The sequence below is a fragment of the Homo sapiens genome, chromosome X, assembly GCF_000001405.40.
Source record: "Homo sapiens chromosome X, GRCh38.p14 Primary Assembly".
Taxonomy (NCBI): Eukaryota; Metazoa; Chordata; class Mammalia; order Primates; family Hominidae; genus Homo; species Homo sapiens.
In genome coordinates this window covers 18,928,332-18,945,185 of record NC_000023.11, presented here as the reverse complement: position 1 = coordinate 18,945,185, position 16,854 = coordinate 18,928,332, and the positions used below count along the sequence as shown (strand labels likewise).

The window sequence follows — 16,854 nt, the reverse complement described above, 5'->3', positions numbered from 1 at the left end:
TCTGATTCCCACCTTTTTCTCCCCCAGGATTATGGAATGTGGGAGCGTGGAGATAAGACTAATCAGGGCATCCCGGAATTGAATGCAAGCTCCGTAGGAATGGCCAAGGTGACAGTTGTCCTGTTTGTTCTTCCTTCTGCATGTTTTTACTGCTTTGATTTGGTTCCCTTCATCAGGAGTTTGTATTTAATCTGATTAGCATATTTGTCAAAAGTCAGCATCAAGGATGTGAAATTCAAGTGGCACAGTTACCCCAGCCACCTGAAATTCTAGGTAAAGAAGGTAGGTTTCCAATGCTGAAATCTGCCCATGGCAGAAAGTAAGAGTGCTCCGTCCTGGTTAGCTGCTGCCATCACCCATGGGTCTAAGCTCTTGCTGTTGTTTAAGAAGCTGCACGTGTGATGTCCAGTCTTCTTTTCTGGGTCACAGAGAGGACTGGAGAATATCACCACTTTGTAGGTTGGACTCACAAGTTCAAAAGTCTACAAGGTCAGTCAAATAACAGTACGAAGTGAAACTAGCCAGACAGCAAGGTGGGGGTCAGGGGAGGAATTGGGGACACTGGGAAACTTTCCCTGAAGGTACTCTGATTCAAACTCATTTAAAATACTCTTCAAGCCAAACAAAACACACCTATGGGGCAGATTCGATCTGTGGGTCACCAGTTTGCTTCTCTTGCCATAGACATATGGTGTGCCTCCTTCCCTCCCTCCTCCAGAATGTAATGTATTTTTTGGACAGAGTAGAGCCTCCAGGGCTATAATTTTTAAAGCAACAAAAAATATGCTCTATTGAAGTAAACAGACAGAAAGTGTACTTATTACTAAAAGAATTAACTTTCTGAAGTGCCAGATGTTTGAAGTTAACTGTTAAAACATGTGAGAGAAAAGACGACCATGAATTTAGTGCACACACACCCACACACACACACACAACGTTATGAACTTGTTAATTCATTTTTAGGTAGAACACTAACTTCACTTGGGAAAATGTTTTTCTGTTTTCTCTTTCTTGTTTCCATAATGAGCAGCAATGTACAGGAGAGCTCTGATCCACTGAAAATAAGAATAGGGTCGGGCACAGTGGTTCACGCCTGTGATCCCAGCACTTTGGGAGGCCGAGATGGGAGGATCACCTGAGCCCGGGAGTTCAAGACCAGCCCTGGCAAAATGGCGAGACCCTGTCTCTACAAAAAAAAAGAAAAGAAAAGAATAAAAAAGACTAGAACATGACTACAGGAGTCTAGCTGGATTTTTAAAATGTGTTTCATTACCTTTGGGAAAACATGTATACTAGATTGCTTAATGAAAAAGGAACACCAGATATTGGAGTGTATGTTTATTAGAAAGAAAAAGTAACTCATACCTGTGTTTGTAGGCAGCTCTTGAGGCAATTGATGAACTGGACCTTTTTGGAGCCCATGGAGGACGCAAGTCAGTGATTCATGTTCTGCCAGATGAGGTCGAGCACTGCCAGGTAATAGCCTCTTGCATTTCAGAGAGCAGGGAAGGAGAGTCCTGGCATGGAAGGCCTGGGATCCAGTGCAGATTCCCCACCTTGCTGGCTTGGTGATACTTTGCTTCTTTGAGCTTCAGTTTTCTCACCCATAAAATGGGCATCCTGGACCCTCTGGCCTCACAAGCTAGTTGTAAGAATCAGTCAACTTAGTCTGTCTAAGCACTTTGTAAGCCAGAAAAGTATAAGACACCATGATGCTGTATAGATGGAATCAGCAATCCAAGCAGCCTTGTTTTGCAAGAGGCAAAGTCTGTTTTATGTCTTTTGAGCACATAGATGGTTTTCTTTCAGGTTTAGTTCACAGTGCCCCCAAATTGAATGATGAGCAAGCACTAGTTCACTTGGGGGTGAGGGGTTGGGGATGGGTGAAATAGGTAGTGGAGAAGAAATGAGATGGGAAAGATGGGAAATTAGTACAACCTCTGTGAAATACAGGTCAGAGAAAGGAGTGATCTAATACAGATTGGAGGATTCTATTGAGCAGAGTGCACGTCATCAATTGCTAGGCCCTCAGCAAACTCTTATTTAGCGAGGGCCCGCTGTGTGCCAAGTACGTTGCTGGGGCTAAAGAAGGTCAGATACATAAAGACTTGTGAATGGAGAGCTTTGGTAGAAGTTTGTGTTTCCAGGCAGAGAAACCCTAGGGAAGAGTGAGTTACAGAACAGGGCCCTGGGCTCAGTTGGCTATAGAAAATAAAGCTTTATTCTGAAGCTGAAGGGTTCCACCCATCTTGACCCTATCTTCCAGCTCACTCAATTTTTCCCCTTTAGGTAGTCCCGGTATTTCTTGGGGTATAGTCTATTTTTTTTTTTTTTTTTTAAGAGGAGGTCTTACTCTATCGCCTAGGCTGGAGTGCAGTGGTGCAATCATAGCTCCCTGTAACCTCAAACTACTGGGCTCAAGCAGTCCTCCCGCCTCAGCTTCCCAAGTAGCTAGGACTACAGGCACGTGTCACCCACACCCAGCTAATTTTTTTTTAATTTTTTTGTAAAGTCAGGGTCTCACTCTGTTGCCCAGGCTGTTCTCCAATTCCTGGCCTCAAGTGATCTTCCCACCTCAGCCTCCCAAAGCTCTGGGGTTGCAGGCATGAGCCACTGTGCCTGGACGTGGTGTGCATCTTAATAGATGTGTAATCCAGTGGAAATGCGTGAGCTTTGCAGCCAGCTGGGCCTGAGTTAGAATCCTAGTTCTGTCACTTACTAGCTGCTCGAAGTCTCAGGGTCCTCAGGTGTGAATTGGACATGGTACCCTAAGTCCTTCTTCATATGAAAGATTCAATGAGCTTATGTTTGCAGGGGTCTAGCCCCATGTCTGTACGTGTTAGATCTCAGTGTTAATTCCTTCCTTTCCCAAACTTTTCCTGATAATTTCAACTCCTTTACAAGTTTCCAGCGCCTAATCCAGCCACTTATTTATAATTGAGGCCATATTATAGTGCCTCTAAGTAACCCTAGAAAGATTCTAGGACTAAACTAATTCTGTGGTTTACCATTTTGTCTGAGTGTTCATGAGATCTTCTGGATTTGACTCCTCCTTTAAGTGGTTTCTGGATCACCCAGTCCAACTGGTCACATTCCACAGAAGCCAGACATTTCTCCAAGCTGGCCCCATGTATGTGTTCTTTTCTGGTCTCTGTCTTCATAGCCAAGACAGCTTAGCCTACTGACACAGGTGGCCCTATAGTTCCTCCCCTACATGTCCTAAAGGTCTGGCAAAGTCAATAGGGCATGGAAGGAAGGGAGACAAGCAGTTCTTAGCGTGGGCTTCAGACAGTACCATGCTCTCCCCAAGCCCTGACTTCTCGCCTGAGGAATAGGAATCATTGGCTGGATATACAGTGTTGGCCAGCAGGGGCCATGTTGGTAGGACAAAGCTCTACTCAAAATTGGCAACCGTATTCGAATGTTCCCTTGGGGCCGAGCTCATGGTCCCTAGATACTGCGCCTATTAGCGCATCTCCAGGTTAAACCACCTCTTTGTTTTTCATTCAGTCTATTCTGTTCTCCATGCTGCCAAGAGCGTCGACATCTAAAGAAATTGATGCTGGACTTCTTTCCATTATTTCCTTCCCGGCCTTTGCAGTGGAAGATGTAAACCTTGTAAATGTGACCAAAAATGAAATTATTTCTAAGCTCCAGGTAAGCATTAGTCATGCTGGTGCCCTTCTGTCCTGTGTGATGTGCATGGAGCAGCTCACCCATGCCTCAGTTCCCCATGAGGTTAATTGCTTGATTTATCTAAGCAGATGCATACAGCGTTCAAAGCTGAGTCTACAGGCAAGAAAACAAAGTCTCCGAGTGATTTAGTGGCTTGGTTCTCTCCTTGAGAAGCAGAACTGGCACTCAGGCAGGCACCTTTGAACCCCAGTTTGTACCAGTACCATACTTCTAAGGCAGAGCTACTTAACCCTTTAGAGGTCACAGACAGTGTATAGAGTCACTGCCAGAAAAAAAAATGCATATGTCCCAATATCCTCAAACTTTACACACAATTTCAATGGACTTGCCAATCCCAAAGTTACCTTCAGGTTAAAATAATCCCTGTTTTGAGGTGAAATGCAGTAACCGTGATACACTAAACTGAGAATATTAAATACTCCAGCCAGTTGAAACTATCGGTAAAATTATCAAAGAATGTAAGTTTCCCTAAGCTGAAATCTGCAGATTGATTGTCCTACTTAGGTTCCATGAAAAATGCTTTTGTCCCTTGGAGTCCCTATGTCTCCAATCATATTCCCAAAAGAAAGCAGCTGTCTCAGTCAGGGTTCAGTGGGAAAAAGGGAACCCCTTTAGGTAGTTGAAGTAGGAAGGGAATGAATACAGAGAATGAAGTGTTTACAAGAAGAGCGGGTTCTAGGCTCAGCCTCCTGGGATGACTCCCAGGACAGTGCGGTGCTGGTCGCTAGGGCTAGGGACGTGGTTGCCTCCATGACCCTCGCGAGAGCCACATCTGCTGTAGCAGCCTCCACATACTTACGGAACTGGAGAATGGACACCCAAAGCTGTGATCTATGGATTAAGGGCGTCAGATTAAGAGAGTGCTGCCCCTGCCCTCCTTTCGTAGCATCCAGGAAGCTGGGGCAGAACCCTGGAGCCTGCAGCCCAAAACCAGCAGCGACAGTCCTAAGCACAGGAAGCTGCCCCCTCCCTTTCTGCTAATCTTTGTGGAGGTGCATCTGACCTTAGAGCCTCCTCTGCAGCCAAAGCCTAACTTCCAGGAGCCTGGGGAATGTCCTTGCAGCTTTCCAATCTTGCAAGTAGGAGCAAACCAATCCAAGTATCTGCCTTGGTGGCTTTTCTAAATAGTGAGGGTCCTTTTAGGTCTCTGTGTAATACAGTAAATCAGAATGAAGGCATGGTCGTTCACTGAACTCTTGGTAATAACTCTTGCAGCCCTGATACTCTGATGGAATGTTTTGGCGTTCCCTTCCAAGTACCGATCAAACCTGAATTGATTTTGCTTATTACTTAAATATATTAATAACTATACTGACAGCAAAGAACACTTGGTATAAAATTCATTACTAAAAGATTCATGGGAAAGAGGGTGCAGGGCTGACTTGAATTAAAAAGGCAAAAAAATTTCTCTGAGCTCATCGAATGTACTTTCTCTTATTAGGGGCGTTATGGATGCTGTCGCTTCCTTCGAGATGGTTATAAAACTCCAAGAGAGGTTGTATTTAAATATTGTTTCTTATCTTTCCTCAACTGTTTCATCTCTAAGTTGCCAATGTGTTGTTCTCCCTCTGCTGATTATAATTTTATGTTGGAATATTGGAAAGGGAAGTATTAATTTTGGAGTCAGCAAGCCTGGAGCCAGGCAATAGCATAGTATCTTTAGTAGGGACGGTGAGCTGGTCATTTAAAACCAGCTTGGCCAGGCGCGGTGGCTCACGCCTGTAATCCCAGCACTTTGGGAGGCCAAGGTGGGCGGATCACGAGGTCAGGAGATCGAGACCATCCCGGCTAACACAGTGAAACCCCATCTCTACTAAAAATACAAAAAATTAGCCGGGTGTGGTGGCGGGCACCTGTAGTCCCAGCTACTCAGAAGGCTGAGGCAGGAGAAAGGCGTGAACCCGGGAGGCGGAGCTTGCACTGAGCCGAAATCGCGCCACTGCACTCCAGCCTGGGTGACAGAATGAGACTCCGTCTCAAAAACAAAAACAAAAACAAAAAACCAACTTGTAGGCCAGGTGCAGTGGCCTGTAATCCCAACACTTGGGGAGGCTGAGGAGGGAGGATTGCTTGAGCCCAGGAGTTCGAGACCAGTCTGGGCAACATAGTGAGACCTTGTCTCTACAAAAAAAATAAAATAAAATTAGTGAGGCAGGTGTGATGGCATGTACCTGTGGTCCTAGCAACTCAGGAGGCTGAGGTGGTAGGATCACTTGAGCCCAGGAGGTCAAGGCTGCAATGAGCAGAGATCACACCATTGTACTACAGCCTGGGTGACAGAGTGAGACCCTGTCTCAAAAAAATAAAAATTTCTTTAAAATTTTAAAAATAAATAAAACCAGCTTGTAGACAAGGAGAACTGGTTCTGTGGCTCACACATTTTTCTTAAAGACCGACTGTGGCCTCCTCCTCGGGTTTCTTTGCCACACTGACTAATATAATGATATAAATCAGATCCTCTGCCAAACTTGGTGGTAGACATATTGCTATTTCTTTGTTAGAGTTATAGGAAGCTTTAGTATAATAAACTACCAAGGAGTCTTGTGTATGTTTCTGACTTACTTTCTGAAATATTACCATGGCAAACTGCCAAAAACAGCATCTCATTATAGTAAAATCCTACTCATGCCAACTTCAAAGCTGTAAAAATCAGTCAAGCATGGGAAACCCCATGAGGCACAATGGTATTATGTATGTATTCTGACATCACCTTTTAAAAGTTTGACTTATTTGATTCTAGGACCCTAATCGACTGCATTATGACCCTGCTGAACTCAAGCTCTTCGAAAACATTGAATGTGAGTGGCCTGTGTTTTGGACATATTTTATAATAGATGGAGTCTTCAGTGGTGATGCTGTTCAGGTGAGAAAATGCTGGGTGTTACGTTGATAATTATTTTCATTCCACTGGTATACTGATTATTATTAGAACATAGGGTTATGCAAGAATTTAGGTCACTGTTTCGGTTATCTGTTCCCACTTAGCAAACTTTCCCAAAACTGAGTGAATTAAAGCAACACCTATTTTATTTATTTGCTCATGATTCTGCAATTTGGGCAGAGCCCAGCAGGGACAGGTTGTCTCTGCTTTACCTGCTGTCAGCTGGGATGGTTCCATGGAAGTGGAGAATCTATTTCCAAGATGGCCTCACTCACATGGCCAATTGATGCTGGCTAGCAGCTGATGCTGGGAACTCAGCTGTGCTATTGGTGGGGGCCTTGGTTCTCCTCCACATGGCTAGCTTGGGCTTCTCACAATATTGTAGTCTCTGGGCCATTAATTTTACATGTTGGTTGTTTTCCCCTCAGAACACAAAAGCAGAAGCTGCCAAGCTTCCATAAGTGTTAGGCCCGGAACTGACAAAATGTCACTTTCATCACATTCTGTTGGCTAAAGGACCATCCCATATTCAAGCGGGAGGGGACTAGACAAGGGCATGAGTACTAGGAGGCGTGGTTCACTGGGGTCTAGCAAGAACATTCCATCACAGACAGGTTTTGTTGTTGCTGTTGTTCTTTCCAGATCAGCCAGTGGTTTGCTGTCTTTAGCCCTAGTTTGGGGTGCTCTTGGATAACATCTTACTTCATGTAACAGCCTCCTCACTCGAATCTCAGCCTCCGGCCTGGTTCCCTGCTGTTTCCATTCTTCTCACCCATGCCAGAGTGATCTTATTAAAAGGCAAATTAGGTTATGCTACTGCCTTGCTTGAAAGCTTGCTTGAAAACCACTTCATGCGTTTTGTGGGGTTCCATATGATCTGATCCCTGCTTTCACCCCTGTAGCCTCATTTCTTAGTGCTTCTTTCTTGAGTTCTGTGATCCAAGCACAATGAAATCCTTTCAGTCCTTTAAACAGGCCATGTGCCCTCCTCTCTTCTCAAAGGCCGAGGACATTCTTTTCTTCCCCAATTGCCCCTCCCCCTTCCCTTGGTTCAATGTAAGTGTGTCTTCTTTCAGAAAGCTTTCTCTGACCCTAAAAGCTGGGGCAGGTGCTCCTACGACCCACAACTATAACAGCATGGGTCACACTATGTTGTATCTCCCCCTTACCTGTCAAAGGACGCTGGTAGAGGCCATCTCTCTCCAGTTCACGGGTATAGTCCCTGTGCCTAGTGCATAGTATGTGCTCAGTAAACATTTACTGATGCAACTCTCATTTGTTCATGACCTATCTCTTTAGCTTCTACTTGGTACCATGCTCTGTGCTGAGCCCTGAGCATACTTTGTTGAACAGAACCGACCTGTCTTTGTGCAGGTTACATGAATGACTGACATCGCAGATGCTTTGCCATTTTTTCAACTGGTTCTGATCACATGTTTGGTGGGGGTGGGGATGAGCAATCAGAGATTCACTTTAGCTCTTGACAGCTCTCCTGCTCAGGAATGCTGGGGGGCTTCAGAACCAGCAGTCAGCTGGAAATGTTAATATTTCCCCACTGTTGATGCTTTCTCTTAGGCTTCAGTGATTATCTTAGGTTTTCTGTCATTTTATCCCAGAATTGAAAGATCTCAAAAGAATTGACTTAGAATTTCAGTTGTGAATAGGCTTAACAATGATGGGGGGAAGAAAACTCAGGAGAGGAAAATGACTGTGTTTAGCGTCTTGTTGATTAAGCTTCATGGAATCTACTACCCTTCTACACCTTTGCTGTCGCTCACACTTGTTGCCCAATGACATTTTTAATATGGGGTCAACTTTTTTAGCGCCCACACATGAGTGAGAACATGTGGCATCTTTCTGTGCCTGGCTTATTTCACTTAACACACTGACCTCCAATTCCATCCATGTTACTACAAATGACAGAATGTTATTCTTTTTTTATGGCTGAATAGTAATGAATGCCTCTTAAGTGGAAAACTTACCAAGAGGTGGAAATGGGTACACTGCTTAAGATATAGCTTCCCCCACAAGAAGTTTATAATCCGGTTACTGAGACAAAATTTAAATATATGAGGGGTTAAGAATGAAATAATTACATGACGAGTTAAAGACAGAACAGGAAAGACATCTGATACACAGTGTAGATATGACTACTAGAGGAATTTTGAGGAAGAAACAGCTACTGTATGATGGGTGCTCTGTCTCTCTTTCTGGAAGCAAGACAGGCAGGGCTGAGCTTAGATACACTCCTGAGAGGAATAGCCGATCGTGTTTAGCTCCTCCTAACACTGTAAGTGTGCCTCCTGCACTCCTGGAGCTGAGGGTATTTGTGCATTTCTTTGCCCTGTGTCTGAACTCTAATCTGTTGCCATGAGAGCTTTTTTTCTATGTTGCACCGCTGTTACAGCAATCATGACCAGACCTCCTTCCTGCCATGGATGATGGGGCTGTTTTCCAGGTCCAAGAATACCGAGAGGCCCTGGAGGGAATACTCATCAGAGGCAAGAATGGGATCCGCCTGGTGCCTGAACTCTACGCTGTCCCGCCTAACAAGGTAACCCAGTGGCAGAGGGCCCTTTGCACCGCTTATCTAGAAATAAGTGACTCATTGCTTGGCCTGTTGGTATTCTTTATCCCCTTTTTCGAACTAATGAACACTTTTTCTCCAAACATGGTTTCAAAAGCCTTAGGTAGGCTGGGCGCGGTGGCTCACGCCTGTAATCCCAGCACTTTGGGAGGCTGAGGCGGGTGGATTACTTGTGGTCAGGAGTTTGAGACCAGCCTGGCTGACATGGCAAAACCCCATCTCTACTAAAAAAAAAAAAAAAAAATACAAAAATTAGCCAGGCATGGTGGCACATGCCTGCAGTCCCAGCTACTTGGGAGGCTGAGGCAGGAGAATTGCTTGAACCTGGGAGGTGGAGGTTGCAATGAGCCGAGATCACACCACTGCACTTTAGCCTGGGCTACAGAACGAGACTCCATCTCAAAAAAAAAAAAGCCTTAGGTAGTGTTCCTGTCTATCCCAAGGAATCATGACTTTGGAAAAATATGTGGAACACGCTTGACCATGGGTATCCTGGGGAGGCAGCAGTTGAAGACCTTCAAATGATACCTGTCCCTCCCCGAACCCTGACACAGGCTCTCTAAAGAGCGTAAACCCATTGTGCACCGTGTTCTTACACACTTCCACAGACGAAGGCCAATGTACAGGGGTATTGAGAATCTCTTCCTTTGATTCAAGCAGTTTGCAAGCTAGAGTTTGAGTAATCACTTAGAAGCCATTCTACATCAGGGAGAGAAAAACAGTCCAGTTCCAAGAAAATGCCCAAACATAGTTTTATTCTATCAAGTTTCCTAAATTGGGTCATGATGGACCTATTATCTTGGCAGGAAGATTTGTCTGTCAATATCTCATGGTTAGAAGAAGAATTCTTGGTTCCTGGCTGTCCCTTGGATGCTTTTGGTGCCTCAGGGCTTGATTATTGTGTTTGTGGGATGAAAAGGCCTTCAGAGGACCGTGTCTTCCCCAAAATCGCCAGGGCCTGGAGGAGGTTGTAAGCCAGCAGAGGCCTGGCATATGGCAACTTGGGTTTAGGTGTTCTGTGGTTCAATCAGGCCCACACACACATGGCCACAGGACTGGCAGGGCCTTTTAAAGTGTCTGCCTCAGCTCAGAGAGGCTGTGGAACCTGTCAGAGCTCACACAGCACTGGGCTCCGCCCTGGGGCCAGACCCCAGGTTCAGGGCCTTGCTGCCACCCCACACTGCCTCCTAATGGGTGGTACATTTCTGTGTGATGGAAGTATCTACACAGTGGATGCTCTCACTAGGCTTCTGAAAGCAATAGTATAGTGGACTTCTTTACTTTTCCATAGAATATAAATTTTAAAGCAATCTGATACTTGATCCTTATGGCAAAAAAGGTACCACCGTGTATCACTTTGAGCCTTATTTTCATCTAAAAGGAACTATTACGTGTTAGATCACTGAACCAGTTAAACCAAGTAGAAAATCAAAGGAAGGAGTTTCCGTGAGAAGTAGAATGTGCCATTGCCGGAAGCATTCAGTTTTTTGCATTTATATCAGCCCATCTTGTTCACTGGGCCCCTTGAGGTGGCTGCTTGCTCCAGGTGGGCTCACCAAGCCCCACCAGCCTGGACCCTTAGCCCTGAGCTCCGGAATGTTGATGGCCCCTCATCCCAACATGAACCGACAGCCCACATCATCCAAGCTCTCTCAGGACTGATTTTGTTCCAGGGTTAAGGGCCAGACTTTGGAGAGGAACTAGTCTTCCCTCACTCTGCAGATCAGTCTACGGAGCCTGCTAGGGCTGTGTTCCTTCTAAGTGTCCTCAGCCTAGATCCCCTGCAAATAAATGTATTCCTTTTAGTACGCGTGCTGCGGTATGTGGGTTGGGGCAGGGCTGGCAGTGGGGGCTGGGTTACCTTCCAGCAGCTACATGTTCATATCCCGCTTCAGGTCGCTCCTTTCCCAGTACTGAGGCATTCGGGAAAACCGAATTGGTAATGAGAGGTAATTTGGAACCTGGAAGCAGAGCAAGGGAAAATAAGTGCCTTCAGGGGTATTTTACTTATTCTATGGTAGAGAAGAGCCGTCCAGTTCTACTAGAGGGCACGTTTTACTGACTATAGTAAATGCCAGGTGTTAAGAGCTACGCTTTTCTTTCTTTCTGATGAACAGTGCTGACTACACATTGTAAAAAATTACTCTGTGACTTTCTGTCTTCTAAACTCCACACTGACCTTTGGGTTTCTGCTTGTCATTACAATGTCCTCAGCATGTTTACACTGGTGTGCTAGGCACTGATTTTGCACACTCTTTGACACTGATTGCATTTTGTGTTGGCTCCTTCCAGATGACAGCTGGGAAGGTTTATCAGTCACATCAATAACATGTAGAGACCACCAGGAAGGATTTCTGCACACAGGGCCACCACAGGCCCATGTGGCACCTGTGTGCAAATTAGATAAAAGGCCTCATCAGGGTAGCCGCAGCCCTGGGCCAGGGTGGCATGCAGCTTGGATGTGAGCCCCACTCATTTCCTCAGCCAGATGTGCTTGTGCAGGGCACCATAAGGCCCTCTGTGGACAGCTGGAGACCAATGAAAGTGTCCCCGCAAACATGGATTGAGCAGCCACTCCGTGCCAGGCACCAGGCTAGCTACTGGGGCACAAGGGTGGCTACAGCGCCAGCTCTGTCCCTGTGAGCTTGCAGGTTAGCAGGGGCCAGACGAGCTGGTCCATGAGATGGAGGGCAGTGGCAGCAGCAAAAGCATAGCACCTTTGAGGACCTGTGGGCAGTTCAGAAGGACCGGTGTGCAGAGAGGCAGAGGGGGATGCCTCCATGCGGGGCAGGAGGTGGCTCATGGGTGGGAGGAGTGCAAAGCCAGGCTGTCTTGTAAACTGGACACCTTGTCTGCTCTCTATTGAATATTTCTCATTCTACATCTCTGCAGTCTTTTTTTTTTTTTTGAGACAGAGTCTCACTCTGTCACCCAGGCTGGAGTGCATTGGCACAATCTTGTCTCACTGCAACCTCTGCCTCTCAGGTTCACGTGATTCTCCTGCCTCAGCCTCCTGAGTAGCTGGGATTACAGGCATTTGCCACCATGCCTGACTAATTTTTGTATTTTTAGTAGAGACAGGGTTTCGCTGTGTTGGCCAGACTGGTCTCGAACTCCTGGCCTCAGGTGATCTGCCCACCTCAGCCTCCCAAAGTGCTGGGATTACAGGTGTGAGCCACCATGCCTGACCTTTCAGTCTTTCTTAACACGACTTACATTTCAAATAGTTTTAACATACTACCTGATTATCATACAAGTAATTCTGTGCACGACAAAACATCTAGGATTCTGTAGAAAGAAGAAAACGTTATCTCTAATTCTACCACCCAAAGATTATGACATTTTGGAGAATCTCCTTCCACACTATTGTCCTATTGGATTATTTGATTACTAATGACATTTAATTCTGTTCAGTTCATGCACTAAAGTTTTTCTTATTGAAAAAATTTTAAATTTTACTAAATATGTTAATAACATCATTGATTAATCTGCAAGCAGAAGATGAGTCTCCTCATGGTGTGATGTTCCCCTTGGGAGAAGGATGTTTCCTATTTCCTTTGGTTGACTTACGTTTTCTGGAAGACAAAAGCGGTCACTGACATTACCCCCAACCAATGATGTGATGACTGAAATGTCAAAGTCCAGCATGGAGTTTAAAAGAGAGAAAGTTGCAGACTAGCTTACAATGCGCAGCCAGCCCTGTCCTCCAGAAAGAACACCAAAGTTTATTTTGCTGAGACAGAAGCCCCCCAGTGGGTTCAGCTTTTTGAGGCCCTGAAGGAGGGGTTACAGGCTAGTAGTCCAAGTGTTTTTCCTCGGTAAATAGTGCCACCTTCTGGCAATTCTCTTGCATTAGGCGCACAGTTTATAAACCCCTAGGGATGGCTCCAGCGATGCACCGCCACAGCTGGAGGCTGATGTTTTCCATCATTTCACCCATCATGCAGCCAATTGTAAGCATGAGCCATGAGAGTTCTCATGGCCAGAGCTGTGCGCAAAGCAGGCAGGCCAGGCATCCGGTGCTCGTGGCCTTGCGTGTGCCTGTAGGAAGAGTGCTTGTCCAGAACCAGGCCGCGATTTGACTTCCACCTCCGCTGCTTTGTAGCCTTGCAGCCCCGAGGAAGGGGCTTGCTCCCCAGCCTCCTGGCACCTGCACAGAATTGGCCTGGAGGATGAGTACCATTTCATAAATCCTCAGTGCATTCCCCATGGTCAGGTATCATGGCCATTTTATCCTCTGACTTTCTGACTTTGGATTTGTCTCTCTTTCCAGGTAGATGAAGAGTACAAGAATCCTCACACAGTAGACCGAGTTCCTATGGGGAAGGTGCCTCATCTGTGGGGCCAATCCTTGTACATCCTCAGCTCGCTGTTGGCAGAGGTAGGGGCTTAGTGGCCTCACAGACTGGAAACCATGTGATTGGAGGTTCAGGGAACCCCAGAAGGGCATAGGGACTCTCTGCCAGGCGTGCGTGTGGATGTCTTTTGCATCTTCATTCGTTTAAGGTCAACTGGACCGTGTTGGCTCCGGGGCTTGACTCTCAGCCTTGTGTGTCCATATTTCCATTAAACCAGCTCAGGTCCATGAGGGCCCAGCACTCCCCATCACCCCCTGCCAGCATTCTTCCTCTGTGGCTAGAATCTGTTCCAGTTGATGGTCAGAGGAGCTGGAAGTTTCTGGGCCAGGATTGTTAGCACATCTGATCCTAGAAGATACAAGATTTGGGAAATGACTAGATTGGCCCCTAGGTGCCCCTGCCCCAGTCTTAGGAGCAGGAAGCACAAGGGCCACAGATCTCTACAGAAAGAGGTGGCGGGCCGGATTTTCTCTGGTGAATTTTGTGTCAGGTGTTGCCCCGGACAACCTGCAGCACCCTTCCTTCTGCAGACAACTGCCTCTTGACACCTTTCTTTTTGTTCACCATTGACTTGTCCCCAGGCTTTTGTTTTAATATGCAAATACTTTGGAGCCGCCTCAAATGAATCCCCCACTCCTCAGTATGAGTGACCTTATCAGATGGGCTGTCGTTCCTGAGAGGGTCCTGCCCAGCTGAGTGCTTCGGCTGGACCCCGGGGAGGCAGGGAGGGGAAGGAGCCCAGGGAAGGGCTGAGGGGCTGCCAGGCTCTAGAAAAGGCAGAAGGGGTGGTGGGTCAGCATGCCACCGGGTTCCTAGAGTGTTGAAGCCCAGGATGAAAGATACCACCGTGGAAGCAGCCCTCAGGAACACTACCTGCCGAGCTGAAACAGTTGTTTTACAGGTACCTCAAGACTCCCCAGTGTCATGGTCATGTCCTTGGAGTAGGGGCTGTGTCTTCCACTCCTGTCTTTATTAGTAGGGAAAACGCATATATCTCCTTTGAAAGCCAGCCCTGTCTCTCACTAGTTCTCTGATCCCGGGCAGGTCTCTAATCTCTGGGCTTCGGTTTCCTCATCTGTAAAATGAAAAGGATGGACTTGATCATCTCTGACCTTCCAGCTCTGATTTCTGTATCAGTGAGATGGGAAACGAGTAACTCCCCTCCCCTGCTTTCTCCTCTCTGATGTAAAGGCTTTCTCTGGGCCCAGCGCTAGGTCCAGTTGCTCCTCAGAACTCCCAGAACACCTTGATCCTCTCTCTCGGGGTTCGTGTCATTTGTAGAAAGTGCAAGGAGGTGCATATTCAAAGAGAATACTTTGCAAGGGAGTGGGGTTGTGGGGGCCAAGTCCCCACTCAGCCACTTCCCTTGGGTCATTATCTTGGTTTCCCCACCTGTACAGTGGTGATGGTGGTAGCGTGGGGGCCAAGGTGTTCTCCTAAAGGTCTGATGAAAAATCACTGACATGAGGCAGATTGATTAATAAGAAAAAAGGGCATGCAGATATACTTAACATGTATACAGGGGAGCCTTCAGAATGAATACCCCAAGATCTAGGGGAAATTTTCTGTTTTTATGCATAGTTTCAACAAAATATGGACAGCTGTGTAGAAATGTGATTAGACAAAAGGGGCCTGATGAATGCTAATGGACCAAGTGGGGAAACCCAGCGAGGCCTTTCTGTGCAGCGCTCTTTCCTTCTGAGTGTGGGGCAGGTCCCTCCCTAGAGTGGGGCCCTTATGACCTACAGCCAAACAAGGTAGGTGAGGGAATTTTTTATGGCCAGTTTTTACAGAGAATATTTGTAGGTTTTGTGGCTGGCTTTGGGGAAAAGGGATTCTGGTTTCTATGCCCACCTTGGGGAAGAAGAATTCTAGTTTCTGTGGCGCCTCCAGAAGAATGGACTGAGAGAGAGAGGCAGGAGAAGGTCAGAGGAAAACTTATGCTTCTGAGGCTGCTGCTGAGGTCTTTGTTTTGGGGGTGTTGTTTTCTGAGCCCCAAAAGTAGTGCCTACCTGTCAGGAGGCATAAATATGACAGTGCGCATACAGTGGCTCAACACAATGCCTGGCATGTTACTGTGAGCTCAGAAAGTATTGGTTATCATTCTTTTTGCTCATACAAGATGGTGGCATATTCGACGAGCCCTAGAGAGCTAGGTGCAAAAATGTAATACGTTTATCAGTGGCAGTTTGAATGATGTTACTCTGTTTCACAGAAAATAAGCAATTGACTCGAAAAATATAAAGAAAAAAGTCTTGAATATGTTGAGCCCCAAAATATTTCATTTTCACACTTCAGTTTAAGATGAAATTTTAGTTAATCAATATTTCATAGTGTTAATGCTCCTCTTTTCATAGGGATTCCTTGCCGCTGGTGAAATCGATCCCTTAAATAGAAGATTTTCCACTTCAGTCAAACCTGATGTTGTAGTACAAGGTTTGTGAGCGTGTTTACTGTTCATATTTAACTTTGTAAAACCAATGTTATTTTAATTCAAATTGTTGCCTAGTTTCTTATTTAATTTTTTTAAAGTGTGTATGTGCCTATGCTTTAGCATGTAGCAGTTGTGTGAGATGCCTTATATAACTCAGTGGCTTCCAAAGGCAACAGAATTCTTCCCAACCACAAAATGACTTTCTACAAAGCAATTGTTGTCTTGAATATAAACCTTGATTGCAACTGGGGCACAAGTGATTCGTTGCGCGTCATTTATCATCATTGTTATTCTTTGAAAAATAGAGCCTAAGCCTGGTGAAAACTCAGAACCCAACTGAGGGTCATTCATTCCTCCCTTGGAGTCCTGACATCTTTCCGCCTTTCACCTGTGTCCACCTTTCCTCTCCCTCCTCTCCAGCCAGCCCTTCTTCTGGAGAGGGGCGAGACCAGCCCAGGCTGCTGCTGCCCTCCGCCTAGCCAAGTGATTTCACCCTTCTGTGCCTCAGGGTCATCAGGACTTGAGCTCCCTGACTGGGGCTTCCTAAGATGTACTGAGGCTGCAGTGGGAAAGCGCTTGGTGTAGTGCCTGGCCTGTGGTGTGCACCCGGGTGGAGCAGTTCTCTTCCTACCTTCCTTCTTAGGGAGGACCTCCTGGCAGTCCAGTAACATTCTCTGTGCCCCATAGAGCACACCAGCTAGTGTCATAGCATGTTGTGTGTACACCATATTGCCCCTGAGACTGTACACTTCTTAATGACAAGGCCTATATCATTCTTGCAGTTTCTATGTTGATTGGCACATACGCACCCATACGTTGAAAACAGTGATTGAACAAATGACAAGCATTTCTCTGTAGCCACTGGCTCATTTTGCTTCGGGGGCTCATGCTGTGGTGA

General features: G+C 46.2%; 1 protein-coding gene across 13 annotated transcripts in view; it reads left to right on the top strand.

Moving 5' to 3' along the window:
* PHKA2 (phosphorylase kinase regulatory subunit alpha 2) overlaps positions 1-16,854 on the top strand; it is a 91,817-nt gene that overhangs the window by 38,929 nt on the left and 36,034 nt on the right. For 7 of the 13 annotated variants that reach the window (XR_950461.4, XR_001755697.3, NM_001440801.1 and 4 more), the window contains 8 exons: positions 28-108; positions 1,378-1,476; positions 3,511-3,657; positions 5,138-5,191; positions 6,437-6,559; positions 9,036-9,131; positions 13,438-13,545; positions 15,880-15,958. Coding sequence is in view for 11 of the 13 variants with exons in the window: in NM_001440801.1 (NP_001427730.1) it covers positions 28-108; positions 1,378-1,476; positions 3,511-3,657; positions 5,138-5,191; positions 6,437-6,559; positions 9,036-9,131; positions 13,438-13,545; positions 15,880-15,958 (787 nt within the window). In the remaining 2 variants the exon portion in view is untranslated. Of the gene's footprint in view, positions 1-27; positions 109-1,377; positions 1,477-3,510; positions 3,658-5,137; positions 5,192-6,436; positions 6,560-8,984; positions 9,132-13,437; positions 13,546-15,879; positions 15,959-16,854 lie in introns of those variants that run through there. The other 6 variants (NM_001440804.1, NM_001440803.1, NM_001440802.1 and 3 more) reach the window with 3 other exon arrangements.